This window comes from Homo sapiens, chromosome 1 (assembly GCF_000001405.40).
Source record: "Homo sapiens chromosome 1, GRCh38.p14 Primary Assembly".
NCBI classification, from domain to species: Eukaryota; Metazoa; Chordata; class Mammalia; order Primates; family Hominidae; genus Homo; species Homo sapiens.
The window spans coordinates 209,999,369-210,014,477 of record NC_000001.11 but is presented as its reverse complement, the minus strand read 5'-3'; the positions used below and the strand labels follow the sequence as shown (position 1 = coordinate 210,014,477).

General features: G+C 33.6%; 1 protein-coding gene across 16 annotated transcripts in view; it reads right to left on the bottom strand.

Moving 5' to 3' along the window:
- The window catches only part of SYT14 (synaptotagmin 14), a 233,173-nt gene that overhangs the window by 156,912 nt on the left and 61,152 nt on the right, over positions 1 to 15,109 (bottom strand). For 11 of the 16 annotated variants that reach the window (NR_027459.3, NM_001397545.1, NM_001256006.3 and 8 more), the window contains one exon: positions 681 to 845. Coding sequence is in view for 9 of the 16 variants with exons in the window: in NM_001146261.4 (NP_001139733.1) it covers positions 681 to 845 (165 nt within the window). In the remaining 7 variants the exon portion in view is untranslated. Of the gene's footprint in view, positions 1 to 680; positions 846 to 1,130; positions 1,137 to 15,109 lie in introns of those variants that run through there. The other 5 variants (XM_006711262.3, XM_017000931.2, XM_047417063.1 and 2 more) reach the window with 2 other exon arrangements.

Sequence of the window (15,109 nt, the reverse complement as noted above, 5' to 3'; positions counted from 1 at the left end):
AAACCAGTCTTTGGAAATAGAAAATTTTTAAAACTCTTGTAGTAATTAAAAAAAAAAAAAACACTCCAAGGAAAATGTTTCCATAGGAGAAAGAATGGTATTACAGCCCTCATCTTTCCTAGTATCTAGTAACACTATAATATATGGTGCCAAGGGAGGGAGTGGAACACTATTTTTTATCATCGGAATTTATATATAAATTAAGTTACTAAGTAAAACCACCTCCAACTCCTCCAAACAATAAAATTACCCATTAGCTGAAAATTAAATAGCAGGTAAAGAAAAAGGGTGAATACTTTCAAAAGCATTCTAGGGATATGGAGAAAAAAAGCTCTCTAAAGAGCTACTTGGACAATGGAAGTACACTACACAAAGTAACAAGATACCTCCTTCTTCCTCAAGTGTATCTGCTCCTATTATAGGCTCAAAAGCATATCTTACATACGAAAAATTAAAATGTCATTTTGTCATAGTAGACAATTCACCTTTATGTAACAGCAATTCATAAACAACAGAAGAATACCTGAACATAATTTACTTAACAGATCTTTTACAGAACAGTAGCTCAAATATTAGTTTATTGTATGTCACAACCAACCTTTTTATTGCATATATTAAAATAAGTAAATAATAGTACGGATAAAAAGAACAAACAAGAGAAGCAGCAATACGATACTTACAAATTTTATCTTGTGAATTCTTCCTTGTACTGTATTCTGAACCAAGATCTGGAAACCCGCCAACATTTTCAAAACAGAACTTCTTATTAATATAGAGAAAAAGGAGCAGCATCAAGATAATAAACACCCCAACAGCTGACAAAAATCCAACTGCCTCTGGAGATACTAGAGAAAAAAAAAGTCACAGCTGTAAGCATTTATTTTTCTTTAAGCTACAAATAAGAAGGAAACCCCAAACATTAAGTTAGCTTACTACCTTATTTGAATTATATTTTTTAATTGTCATAGTTTAAAAACAGTTTCGTTTATAAGAAAAACAAACTGCAAAGTTTGATGACAGTTGTTCAATTCATTCAGCAGCATTCATTCAAATTTTCTAAGTTTCCTTATAAATTCATAGGAACAATCTTAAAAGAAAGACAGGAGTCGGCCAGGCACAGTGGCTCACACCTGTAATCCCAGCACTGTGGGAGGCCAAGTGGGAGAACCTCTTGAGGCCAAGAGCTCAAGACGAGCCTGGCCAATATGGTGAAACCCTGTCTCTACTAAAAATGCAAAAATTAGCCTGGCATGGTGGCACATGCCTGTAATCCCAGCTACTTGGGTGGCTACGGCATGAGAATCGCTTGAACCTGGGAGACAGAGGCTGCAGTGAGCCGAGATTGTGCCAGCCTGAGCAACAAAACAAAACTGTCTAAAAAAAAAAAAAAGACAGGAGTCTATAAAATAGGCAATCATCATATGTTTAATCCATCGAAGAGCACTGCAAAAATTTGAAAATAAGAATTAGAAAAAAGGCCAGGCGTGGTGGCTCATGCCTGCAATCCCAGCATTTTGGGAGGCCAAGGCAAGCAGATCACTTGAGGTCAGGAGTTTGAGACCAGCCTGGCCAATGTGGCGAAACCCTGTCTCTACTAAAAGTACAAAAATTACCCAGGTGTAGTGGCGGGCACCTGTAATCCCAGCTACTCAGGAGGCTGAGGCAGGAGACTCACTTAAACCTGAGAGGCAGAGGTTGCAGTGAGCCGAGATCGCGCCACTGCACTCCAGCCTGGGTGACAAAGCGAGACTGTTTCAAAAAAAAAAAAAGAAAGAAAGAAAGAAAAAGGTTATATCTGATGCACGGATATATTACTTAACAAAATTTATGAGAACACATATCATTATTTTTATCTCTAAAAGCTTCAATCACTCTTTCTTAGTAAATAAACTTTGTACTCCCTAATGTGGCATTTAAAGCTCCAACCTCTCTTTTCAATATTATACTCCAGTCAAATGTTATACTCATTGCCTCAGAATCCGCAATATTCAATACCACACTCCTTGTTTTTATTGATCTTCTTCCCTTGCCTGGAACGACCAACTCCTCTCTACTGTATCCTACTCATTCACTCAACCAACTTACATATTTGGAGCACCAACCATACACCAGGCATTGTTATATAAACAGTTCCTGTGTTCCTTGAACAATCTGGTGAAGACAATTACAACACAGTGTAATAAAGACAATATAGTGTAAGAAAGGCTATGATTGGGAAAGAACAGGGACTATGAGAACCACAGGAACACTTATTCCAGTGCTGAAAGATCAAGAAAACTTTTCTGGAAGTTATGGACTCTATGATTATATTTTAAGAGATTAGTAAGAATCACTTCAGGCAGAAATAACATCTGCAAAAGCCCAGAGACAGAAAATCACATTATATTCCAGAAACTGAATGAAATTCTTTTATGATAAGCTACTAGATTTTCAAGAGAATTTGGTCTCAAGCAAATATATGAAATCACCTAGAGAGGTTTTATACAGCAAGAAAAGACAAAAGACAGCTTCTCCAGTCCTCGGCAGTCTCTCTTTCAACTTTTTTATTATTTGCCCCTATATCAGTCATTTGGAGTTAAACAGGAACTAAGTTTTTGTATCCTCCATGCCTTACAGATAATATTCAAGTATTAGTTGAGAATGATTCTAAGCTTCAAACACCCCTACAAAGATCCCTGTATAATCTACTTTTCTTCCTCCATCATTCAAGCAGCAACTAAAATGTTATTTTCTCTAAGATTCTTCCTTAAATCAGAGGGCGATGGCAAATAGTATCTTAACTCATTTGTTAAAAATGAAGTCAACAACCGGTCAATGATGAGTGCTTTGATTTCCTTTTTCATTATTTATAAAAACTAGGTATACCAGGTATAGAATTGAATAAGACATTATATCTTTTCAAAGCTGGGTCAATGGTGTTGCAGTAGGAGATGAAGCAGAGAGTAATATTGTAAGGCAGGGGCAATGGGAGTGAGAGGAGGAGGCGGGAGGAACGGTAGGAGTGCTAGCTGGATATCAGGCTGGTGCTGAGGGACAGGCCTTGCTCCTAGAACCAAGAAATTATAGCCAGACATTAGCCTTGCCTGTCTTGTCCTCAGGCTGAAGCACAGCCAGGGAAGAAAATGATTTTAATAAAAGAAGCTAAGGTATATGACATAAAACAGTGGTATGTATCAAGCCTGAGATATGGAGTAAAAATGAAAACAGAGTAATTATCATCAACATTTCAGATAGCCAGGAAAATCAGAAGCAGGACAGAATCTGGTATGAAGAGGCAAAAAAGAGTAGCACTTCAATATTACACTGTAATAACAAAATATATATAGGAGTTCCCCTTTTAGTACAGGCTCAAAACACTCAGACATTTAATGCCTTCAGTGGCTACAAAGGATTAGATATCATGCAGACTGAAAATCTCCCATGTCTTGGAAAACTAAATGAAAGAAAATGTAGCTCATGTCACTTAAGAAAGCTAGTTATTGATAACAGAAATAGCACAAAACCATACAGCAGATACTATACACCACTCACTGTTTTAAGCACTTTACATACATTAACTCATTTAATCTTCACAATGATCCTATTATCATCCCCATTGTAAATTGAGACAAAGAGATATTAAACTATGTGTTCAGATAGTAAGTGGAAGAATCAGGATTCAAACCCTGTCTGGCCCCAGTGTCTGTATTTTAAATACTACTCATACTGCTTCTGTTTTCCTTCTCTCCTCTTCTTGCCTCTTTCTATCCCTTGCCTCAATCCTTATTTCTACGTTCCTCTTTCATCTTTCTCTTGCCCTAAAATTCAACCTAATGGGAGAGATCCACTATAAGCAAGTAAGTATAACATACAGTAAATACTATAATAGAGATATTACTATAAATTATTACTGGAGCACAAAGAAGCACTACCTGAGAAAGTCATAAAACGCTTTAGAAGAGATGACACTTGAGTAGGGTATAAAAAAGGAATAGAACCTCTATAAATAGTAAAAGTACATTTGAAATAGCATGGTTAAAGACAGAAATAATATACATGGCATTCTATAAGCACTAATGGGCAATAATCACGGCAGTCATATTTATTTACCTCTGTATCTTCAAAGTACCTAGGACAGCACCACATAGCTGACATATAAACATCTGTGGACAAATGGATGGATGGATGAATGAATGAATGAATGTATGTGTATTCAGGAAAGATTAAGAATATACCAGAGGAGCTGTAACTGGAGATGAAAGCAAGGTCCAAATTGTCAAAGAACCTTGAATATCATCCAAAAATTTTTGTATTTGGGGAGTAACATGATTACAAGTTTGCCTTGTAGAACTATATTGGTTAAAACAACTAGAAAACTGAAATATGGTAGCAAGTCAATAGTGGTAAAATATCTTCAGTTCTTAAACTAAGTAGTAGCAGTGGTAACAGAGAAGGGTAAAATCTAGTCTTTGTTCAAAGAAAATTGATAATGATCCACTTATGTAAATTTAGAGGATAAGAAAGAAGAAGAGTTGAGGATAAGAAAGAAGAAGAGTTGAGGATAAGAAAGAAGAAGAGTTGAGGTTAATTCTAAAGTTTCTAGTTTGAGTGACTGGGTAAATGGTAATGCACTAACCAAAATGAAGGATATGAGAAGAAAGGCATTTGGATTAGAGCATGGGAGGAAAGAGGAAAGTAGAAGGAGAATGACAGATAATTAATTTAGTTTTTGACATGCTACACTGGAAATGCCAACAGAATATTTCACAGAGGGAAATATGAGTATGATGTTCTGGTAAAGGTCAGGTTAGTTAACAAAATTTGAAAATTTTTCCCTCTTTTTTGCTCCTCTTATTCCATATGAAACACTTCACTCACTAAATAATACCAAGCTGGCAAATGCAGGTGCCAGGCTTTATTAATGGTAAATATCTTATGTTACATATCTTTAGATAAATACATACTAAAGCTTCAGACAAATTAAAAAAAAAAGCAGCTTTCCCCACTAGGAAAAGGTGAAATATGCCTGCTGTAAACATACTGTTCACACAATACCCTGACTGAATGCCTGTTTTTCACATTCATTAAAAATATTTTATCTATTTATAATTTTAAAACAGTAGTATGGTTGTAGAGAAGAAATAAAATATCTTCTAATAAAAATACTAAAAATCTTCAGGCTTATTTTTCATCCTTATCTGAGAACTAAACTAATATTTATTATTTCAAATACATTATGATACCAGAAGTCAGCCAGTAACAGTTCTGAGTATAAAAACATTTGGTAAATCCCACCTGTACATAAAACTGCAATAGGATATACACTGAAATTAAACTAAAGATATGAATACTGTACAACATGCTTGTCCAACTCATGGCCTGCCAGACATATGCAGCTCAGGATGGCTTTGAATGCAGCCCAACACAAATTTGTAAACTTTGTTAAAATCTTATGAGTTATTTTTTACAATTTGTTTTTAGCTCATCAGCTATTGTTAGGGTATTTTATGTGTGGCCCAAGACCATTCTTCTTCCCATGTGGCCCAGGGAAGCCAAAAGATTGGACACCCCTGCTGTACACCATCAATTAAAAAATTACACTGATTCATACCTCCCTAATAAAAAATATATTCTTATTCATTATAGGAGTAGAATTTCCCCTAAAATCTTTGTATACTATGAATCTGCTTAGAAAGTCATTCTGCATAAGTATAAGATAATGTAATTTATCTATACCTATACCTTCTTTCAAGCATTCTAGGCCACCCACTGCAGGAAAGTAAATCTATTTAAAACACACATGCCTCTTAAGGAGGATCTTCAAAATCTTCATTTAGGCCAGGTGTGGTGGCTCACGCCTGTAATCCCGGCACTTTGGGAGGCTGAGGCAGGTGGGTCACCTGAGGTCAGAAGTTCAAGACCAGCCTGGCTAACATGGCAAACCCCATTTCTACTAAAATTACAAAAATTAGCCGGGTGTGGTGGCGGGCACCTCTAATCCCAGCTACTCAGGAGGCTGAGGCAGGAGAATTGCCTGAAGCCAGGAGGCAGAGGCTGCAGTGAGCTGAGATCGCGCCACTGCATTCCAGCCTGAGCGAGAGCGAGATTCCATCTCAAAAAGAAAAAAAAAAATTCTATTTAAAAGCACACAGCCAATAATTAGTTTAATATTACACATTTGAAGAATTAAATTTGTTGAATACAGTCAATAACTCAAATTTCACTAATGCAAGTTTTCCCATGATCCAAATTTGCAAAGTTTTAATGTGGTAAACAACAAAACCAAGACCAACTAATAACAACCTGAACAATATCAAACACTTAAAAAGTGCTTATTATTTAACAGGGACTGTTTTAAGTCCTTTACAAGCATTATCTTATTTAATCCTCACTGCAACCATATTTTACAGATATAGATACTGAGGTTCACAAAGAGTAAGTAAAACTTTCAAGATCTTAAAATTATTATTCAGTGACACAGTCTGTATTTGAACTTGAGCACACTGACTCCTGAACCCAAACTGTTAACTGCTAATCTCTTAGCTTCCCATTTGCCAGATATTGTTGTAATTGCTTTCATTTTAAAATTTAACACTCAAGACAATTTATGATAAGTACTATAATATTATCTTAGTCTTTAGATTAATAAATTGAAGTCCAGAGAATAATTAAGTTGTCCAAGTTCACAAATCTATGAAGTGGTAGAACCTGGATTTGAATCCAGACATTCTGACTCCAGAATCCATGATCTTAAACACCAAGTAATACTGCTCCTTGTATGCCAACCTGCATATAAAAGATAAGAAAAAGCTATATGACCAAAGTAACATAGCTCACTATATATATTATGTGCAAATATTTTATTTATAGCTCTTATATATGTTAAAAAATAGCAAGCAATTTCAACTTCCTCAAAATAAATACATGAATTTTAAAACTGGAATTCTAATTTTTTTCTATTCAAGTTACTATTCAAAATATTTTAAAATTAATTTTAGAATTAAGTTTAAAAACCAAAATATGTGGTACTTCCTTATATGCCACATTTGAAAAGCTAATAAAACAAATATGAATTTAAAAACTAAAGATACTCTATAGAAAATAGCTTGATATTCATTAGTAGTGCTCAATAAAGAATATTAACTGCTCTCTGTGAGCTATATCGTCCACTATATGAATTCCCTAAAGACCATACTGCAAAGTGAGAAGGGGCACTAGGTACAATATCTCACCAGAAAATGTAGAAAGTTTAGTCTTTCCAAGACTAATGATTATTTGTGTTATGTATACTGAACTGGCTTTGGCAGTTATATCTTTATATTTAGAAATAAATATATGTATTTACAAAAAATAAACTTAAAAAATACCAATTTTTTAAAATTTAAGCTTCAGTAACAGTGGTAAAATTCATTTTAATTTCTACAGATAAGTTGGTCATTGAAAAAAATGAAAAAATTACAGTCTTACTAAAGTCAAAGCAAGAGCAAATACATTTCGACTTTGAAAGTATTGCAGAATTCACTTAAATTCTCCATTATATTTTGTCACAAAAGAACATTTTCTAGCTAAGAAAATGTTTTTCTAAGAAAAATGCTAGGATATACATGAAAATAATTAAATATATGGGGGATATTTATCTACTAAACCAACACATTTTCTATTTTGATTTACTTGGACCACAATAATACTCTAAATAATATTTCTATCAAAACAAATTAATTATAATTTCTAAAATAAATTTTGTAAGACTATTCTATTCATTATATCTTAAATGCAAAATTAAACAAAAAGTACCTATGCTTTATCTAATTATTTTTTTAAAAAGATAAAAAGTAACAACTTACAATTTGCATTATAAGGGATGTATTGCTGATTTGTCCTGCTGGGCATGAAACACTAATCCTCTAACTCCATGTCATGGATACTTTAATAATTCATTTAATAGATGCAATTCTATCTCTTGACCAAAATGTGAACTATCAAAGTCAACTTTCATTGAAAAAGATATACCTGTTTTACATTTAATTAGCTGTAAATATTTTCTCCATATTTTAATCAGAAAAATGCTATAATTTATTTTGCTCTGGGTTTGGACATAGAGAATTATTCATAATTCTAAGAGATAATTTAGGAAAACAGAAGGTTAGTATGTTTCAGTTTCCTTTTATAACATTTCAATTAGTTTACAAATAAAATTTCCCTCAAATTTTCGTATTACATTATAAACAATGCAAAACTGGAAAGAATATATGTAAATTAAAAAAAGAATGTAACAATGCTAGCTGTTAACTCCAGATTTTATAAAAAACAATCATTACAAAGAGCATTTACTGATAGAAGTAACACAATTCACTGGTGAGTAACTTAAAGGGACAATGGAAGAAGGCATAGATGGTAGTGATGTGAAACACTAAGATCTTAGGGAAAAAAAATGCCCTCTAAGAGAAACAGTTACCTACCTGGACAGGTTGATAAAACAGATGCCACCCAATTTGTTTCACAGTTCAAGCCATGAATAGATTGAACCTGTATTCCCTCTAAGTACATGCAATAAATTGAAATTTCATTTGACTATCATAACAAAAAACTCTAAATCAATCTTGAAGAAATTAGAAAAAAAAGAAAACCCAAACTTTTATTAAGTATGGAAAACCAAATATAAAGTGTATTTAAACCATATACTTCTTACTTAATAATACTTAATGTACTTCATATATTTAAACCAAATCTTAATATAAAACTCTATCAATCTCTGGCAGAGACTTTTCTTCAAGGACAGTCTTGATTGAGGCTTTAGAATTATGATTCTAATGAAGTTTTAGACTAAGAAAAACTTATTTTCCTGGCAAATCTCCCTACAGCAAAGCATAGTCATTCTTTTGAACAACGAATTGTCTCAATTTTTTTCATTACCTATTCAATGTGTATGGATTCCTTCACAATTATCTAAATGAGAAACGGCATGGACAATATCTAAGGTCACTGCTTCCTCTCCTTTACTTTTTCAATGATTCTTTCTTTCTTTTCAATAAGATCTTCATGCTGAGCTACTATGAGTAAGATTTTGAATTCAACACCAATTGCAGGGGAATATTCTGGTTAAAGCCAATCTGTGATGTCAACTACAGTTTTAGATAAGCTTATTTCAAGATTTAGTTCAAACCCATCAAAATTCTGATAAATACCAAGCAGTTTCATTCAAATCTCTCAGAGAGACACCATCTTCCTCTCAAATTTTAATATTAGGACACCTGGTTCTCTTCTTGAAATGATCAAAACATTGTTTGCTCACTCTAAAACCATCTTTCCCCTACTAAGCCTGATCCATTTTGAAGAGAAGTAGCTTTTGCTGAAAACATTGAATGGTTCAATAGATTTACTGTGTATGAACACATACATAGGCAATCAAAGCTTCATCTAACCTTACCAGCATATCATGTTTTCTTATCCACTAAATAAATGAGTCCGGCATAGTTCAGTTAGTGATGACAAGAGCTCAACATCAACATCATACTGTGCTCCCACCTGAATATAGCAACTGGAATGTTCTACTCACTTGCATTCTCAATGCATCTAGAATAAAAAATGTGTAGCTCCATTTGCAAAATGATATCATTCTACCTTTTTGTTGATATGATATCTGTATCAGATATAGTAAAAGCAAATATATTTGAAATTTTAAAGAAAAACTACTCTAAAAGCTTTGAGAAAAGATACAATCCTTTAAGTTCAGCTGCTGATAGATTTGCTGAGTAACCTCTGAACAAGCATCGCAGTTTTGGAGCAGAATCATGTGAGAAACAGTTTGAGTCCTGTCCTTAGAGATTGAAATACAAATTTTAAATAATTAAAATGAAGTAGGAGCTACTTTTCAATAAGTAAGGTGTTATAAAGTAAGAAGTAGTGCTACAAGGGTCACCAGCCACCAAATCAACATTAACTGAAGAAAGAATTTGTCAATCAAAAAGAGAAAAGATAAGCAATGAAATGATGAAATTAAGAGATGTATGATGAAATTAAGAGATGTAAAATTTGGTGGTATACCATGACACGTCTTTCAGTGGTATCCATCTTAGTTAGGTATTTTGGGAGATATATAAACCCGTGTTACTTAATACCTTTACCAATGACCTGAATAAAGGAATTGAGAATATGTTCATTAATTTTGTAGAAGGTCCTAGGAATACTAGGTAGGGCATGATTGCTAATTCTCTGAAAGAAAGAAAGATACACTAAGGACCTCAATATATTAAAGAAATAACACATCAAAACAAAGTGAAATTCAATATGGATAATTTCAAGGTTACTACACCATTAGGAGCCAAACACTAATAAATGTTAATGAAAATGTTGGCTCAGTAAAATGTGTCAGGAAAAAAATTAAAATAATATAATACGAGTCAAACAGAAATCAGCAGTATAATGTTTCTAACTGGTGAAAACTAATCATTCTATTATGCTATCTGATTCTGATGAAAGCAATTATGGTCTCCAATTTCAAAGTAAAATTGAGAACACCTAGTAAAGAATACATTTGGAGACTTTCACAATAAGGAAAAAAAATTAAAAAGCAGAATAAAACAAACAGAAACAGCATTTGTTAAAAAAATAAATCATTTGTGAATAAAATTAAATTTATGTGGGAAAAAATATTAAAACCAATTATTTGTAAGGATTTGGCAATATTTAATGCATTTTAAAAGGGAAACTGGTTTCCTAATCCTGCTAAAGAATATAATGCAATGGCTTAAAGAGAGCAAGTTAAGAAGCATTGCCAGCAAGTGACTGGTCAGCAAGCTGCTTTCCAGAACAGTATGATCTTTGATGAGTTCATCATTGTCTACTGTCTTACCCTCACTTTTAGAAGACCAAAAACTTGTCTTTTTTCAGGGCCTAGAGGGCCTATGTGAGGAAAAAAAATGAATAGAGGTAAAAAATCTAGCTGTTAGATCCTGTTACACAGTATCCAAATAAATTCAAATGGCAGCGGATATATGAACAACATAAAATTTAAACTGGAGAAAACTCCATTAGAATAACAGAAATGTTAACAGAATGTGAAATCAGGACACACACATCTTCCTGGTATTAGAGTACCTGAAAAGCTGAAACAGTAATTAAAAGGTTTCTTGGCAGGCACAGAATGAAAACTAAAGGGAGGAAACTCTACCAGATACCAAGAATTATTTTAAAAGTAGAATAATTAAAACTAGATGATATTGGCACAGGAATAGATAACAGACCAAAAGGCCAGACACAGACACTTGCACACATGGATTCTGATGTATGACAAAGTTGGCTGCAGAGCAGTGGGTGAGTGAGGGATCATGTTTTGAATGCATTGTGCTTGGAAAATCGAGGATATAAGGGAAAAATGAATTTACATACAAACCAATTCTAGATAGACTATAGATCTAAATGTGAAATGCTTTAGCCAATCAATTTTGTAGAAAAAAATACAAATACTTTTCTTCATGATCCCAAGGCAAGGGATTTCTTACTAAACAAGACATAAAAAGCATAAATCACACAAGAGAATACTGATAAATTTTATTACATTAAAATTTAAAATTTCTGATCATCAAAAGATATAATGACTAGGCAAGCCCAATAATATATTATATGGAATAATGTATTTGCAACACATAATCAGGAGGAAAAGGCTCATATCTAAATACATAAAAAATGTGTAAAAACATTTTTTTAAAGACAGCACAGTAAAAAAATGGGCAAAGTCCTGATCAGGCTTATCATGAAGGATAAAACAAAAATGGCCAATAAATGTATGAAAAGGTGTTCAACTTTGTTATGTATCAGAAAACTTCAAATTACATCATAATGCAGTATCACTATTCCAGAATGGCCAAAATTTAGATCTTGTAATATGAAGTATTCGTTAGGAAGTGGAGCAATTGGAAATCTTTCAGACGATAAAAATCTGAGACTCAACAGTACAGAAAAAAAAATCATGGGTATATAGTCATACACTAGAAAATTATGTAGCCATAAAAATGAATGAATAATAGTTACATGCAAAAAACTGAATCTTGGAAATATGAGGTTAAGCAAAAGCAGCAAGGCAGAAGGGACAAGATTCCAATATAAAGATTCCAATATAAAGTTCAAAACAGGCAAAACTAATCTTTCAAGGATGTGTACTTAGGTGGTAAAACTTAAAGAAAAAAATATTAATGTCCATAAAAGCAAGCAGAAAAGGGATAATACTCAGGAAGAGTGCACGGGGGCTTTTGAAGAAATGGCGGCATTCTACTTCTCTACCTGGGTTCTGGTTACATAGGTGCTTGCTTTTAAGTATTATTCTTCATTTTGTTTCAAAATTTAAAAAGAACTAAAAAAATGTATAGTTCTTATGGGCAGTTTATCTTGGTTATGGTGATACCTGGTGAATCATTCCAGTCTGCGAGAGCTGCTATCTGAATGACCCACTTATAATCTTGTCCCTCTCAGTCTAATCTTATCACAGTGTCCAGAATGAGCCCTTCAAAATGTAAATCAGAACTGACTGTCCTCTGGTCAAAACCTTCCAATGGCTCCTCATTTCCTGCATGATCTGGCTCTCTATGACTACTCTGACCTCATTTCCTACCACTTCCCTACTAGTTCATTCCACAGTCGGCCTTGATGTTTCTCACATATTAGCCAGGTTGTTTTTCCCTGGATGTTCCCCCTCTGCTTTGATGGCATTTTCCCAGATATTCACATAACTGATTCTTTCACCTCCTTCGAGTCTTTGCTTAAACATTACTTTCTTAATAAGAGCAACTCTGTCAACCCTATTTTAAAATGCAACCCATTAACACCCATACCTCACCTTTTCCCTGGCTTATTTTTTGTATCTCTTATCTTCTAAAATACCAAATAATTTATTACTTTTTATATCATTTGTTATCTGTCTTCCCATACTAGCATGTACGCTTCAAAAGGCAGGAAGCCAGCTGATATTTGGGATAGATTGCTAGGCAATAATTATGAATATAAATGTAATTTAAAATGATGAATATAAATGTAAAATATAAATACTAAAACCCAAATCCAGAAATATATGGAGAAATACATCAAGACAGAGTTAGATTTATCCCCACTATGTAAAAATAATGTAACATTAGAAAATCAACTGATAGAATTCATCACACTAACAAAGTAAAGGAGTCAAGACATCCTTTCAACAGGGCAAAAAAAAAAGTTATTAAGAAACCTCAATAGCAACCTATAATTAAAAAAAAATTAGCAAATTTGAGCTGGAAGGTAACTTACTTAGCCTGATAAAGGAAATCAGCCAAAATAATATAGCAAAAAAATTCATGAAAATATATTACAATTCAAAAGTATTAACTTTAAAATTAGGAACACAGCAAAGCTGCTTGTTTTATTTTCAGCACTAAAGAGGTTTTAGGATGCCCTGGATTCAAAACAACATTCAATTCTAGCCTCCATGAGCCTCAGTGAAAACAAGAGTCCTTTATTATTTTAACAATAAAACTTCATTCTTCAGAGGTTAATGAAAAACATAATTCAGTCTTAAAATAATGTGTTTTTAATCACAAAAGGATGAAAACTATGAGGCACGCAGAAACAAGTTTTAAAAAGAAGGCATCCCAGCACTTTGGGAGGCCGAGGTGGGTGGATCACAAGGTCAGGAGATCAAGACCAGCCTGGCCAAGATGGTGAAACCCCGTCTCTACTAAAAATACAAAAAATTAGCCTGGCGCGGTGGCAGGCGCCTCTAATCCCAGCTACTAGGGAGGCTGAGGCAGGAGAATCACTTGACTCGGAGGGCAGAGGTTGCAGTGAGCCGAGATCGCACCACTGCACTCCAGCCTGGGTGACACAGTGAGACTCTATCTCAAAAAAAAAAAAAAAAAAAGAAGGCATAAAACAGCCCTAATGAAAGTAGGAGGAGAACATAATAAAAAGAAAAGCAGCAATAAATTAAATTCGATAAAAGCAACAGAAGTATCTAAGAACATTTTCTTAGATTGTGTGTGTGTGTGTGTGTGTGTGTGTGTGTGTGCGTATGAGGACAAAGGACTAAAATAAGATGAACATACTTTGGCAAGTCTAATAAAAATTACAACAAAAGTAATTCAAGGCTTACTCTGCATCATGCACTATCCCACGTATTTTACATGTATAATTTCATTCAAGTTTCACAACAACTCTACTACCCTTGCAGAAAAGGAAACCGAAACATGTGATGAAAGAATTTGTCCAAATTCACAAAGCCGTAAGTGGCAGAGTCAGGATTCAATTGTCTGGACTAATATAATACTTACAAATATAGAATACTGTACACTAAAATAGGGAGATAACAGTAAATATATACATATACAATTTTAAAGCAAATACTTTATACACCACAGCAAAAAAGTGTTTGTATACATTTGCAAATATCTGTAAAATAAAAATAAAATCATAACTTTAAAAACATTTTTATTAATACATAATTTTTGCACATATTCATGGGGTACATCTGATATTTTGTTACAAGAATAGAATGTGTTATGACCAAGTTGGAGTACTTTAAGGTATCCATCACCTCAGGTATTTATCATTTCCATGTGCTGGGAACATTTCAAGTCCTCTCTTCTAGATTTTGAAATATACAATATATTGTTGTTAACTAGTCACCCTGCTCTGCTACTGAACATTAGAACTTATTCCTTCTATTTAACTATGTTCATATGCATTAACCAACCTCTTATTCCCCCATCCTTACCATATACACCATTCTGAGCCTCTGATATTTACTATTCTACTCTCTACCTCTATGAGATCCACTTTTTTAGCTCCCACATATGAGTGAGAGCATACAATGTCTTTCTGTGTGTGTCTGGCTTATTTCATTTACCATAATGACCTCTAGTTCTTTTCATGTTGCTGCAAATGACAAGGTTTCATTCTTTTTATGGCTGAATAGTATTCCATTGTGTAAATTTACCACATTTTCTTATCCATTCATTGGAAAATGGACACTTACATTGATTTCATATCTCTGCTATTGTGAATAGTGCTGCAAGAAACTATGGATGCAGGTATCCCACTGATAAACTAATTTCTTCACCCTCAGATAAATACCCAGTAGAAGGATTTCTGGATTGTATGGTAGTTC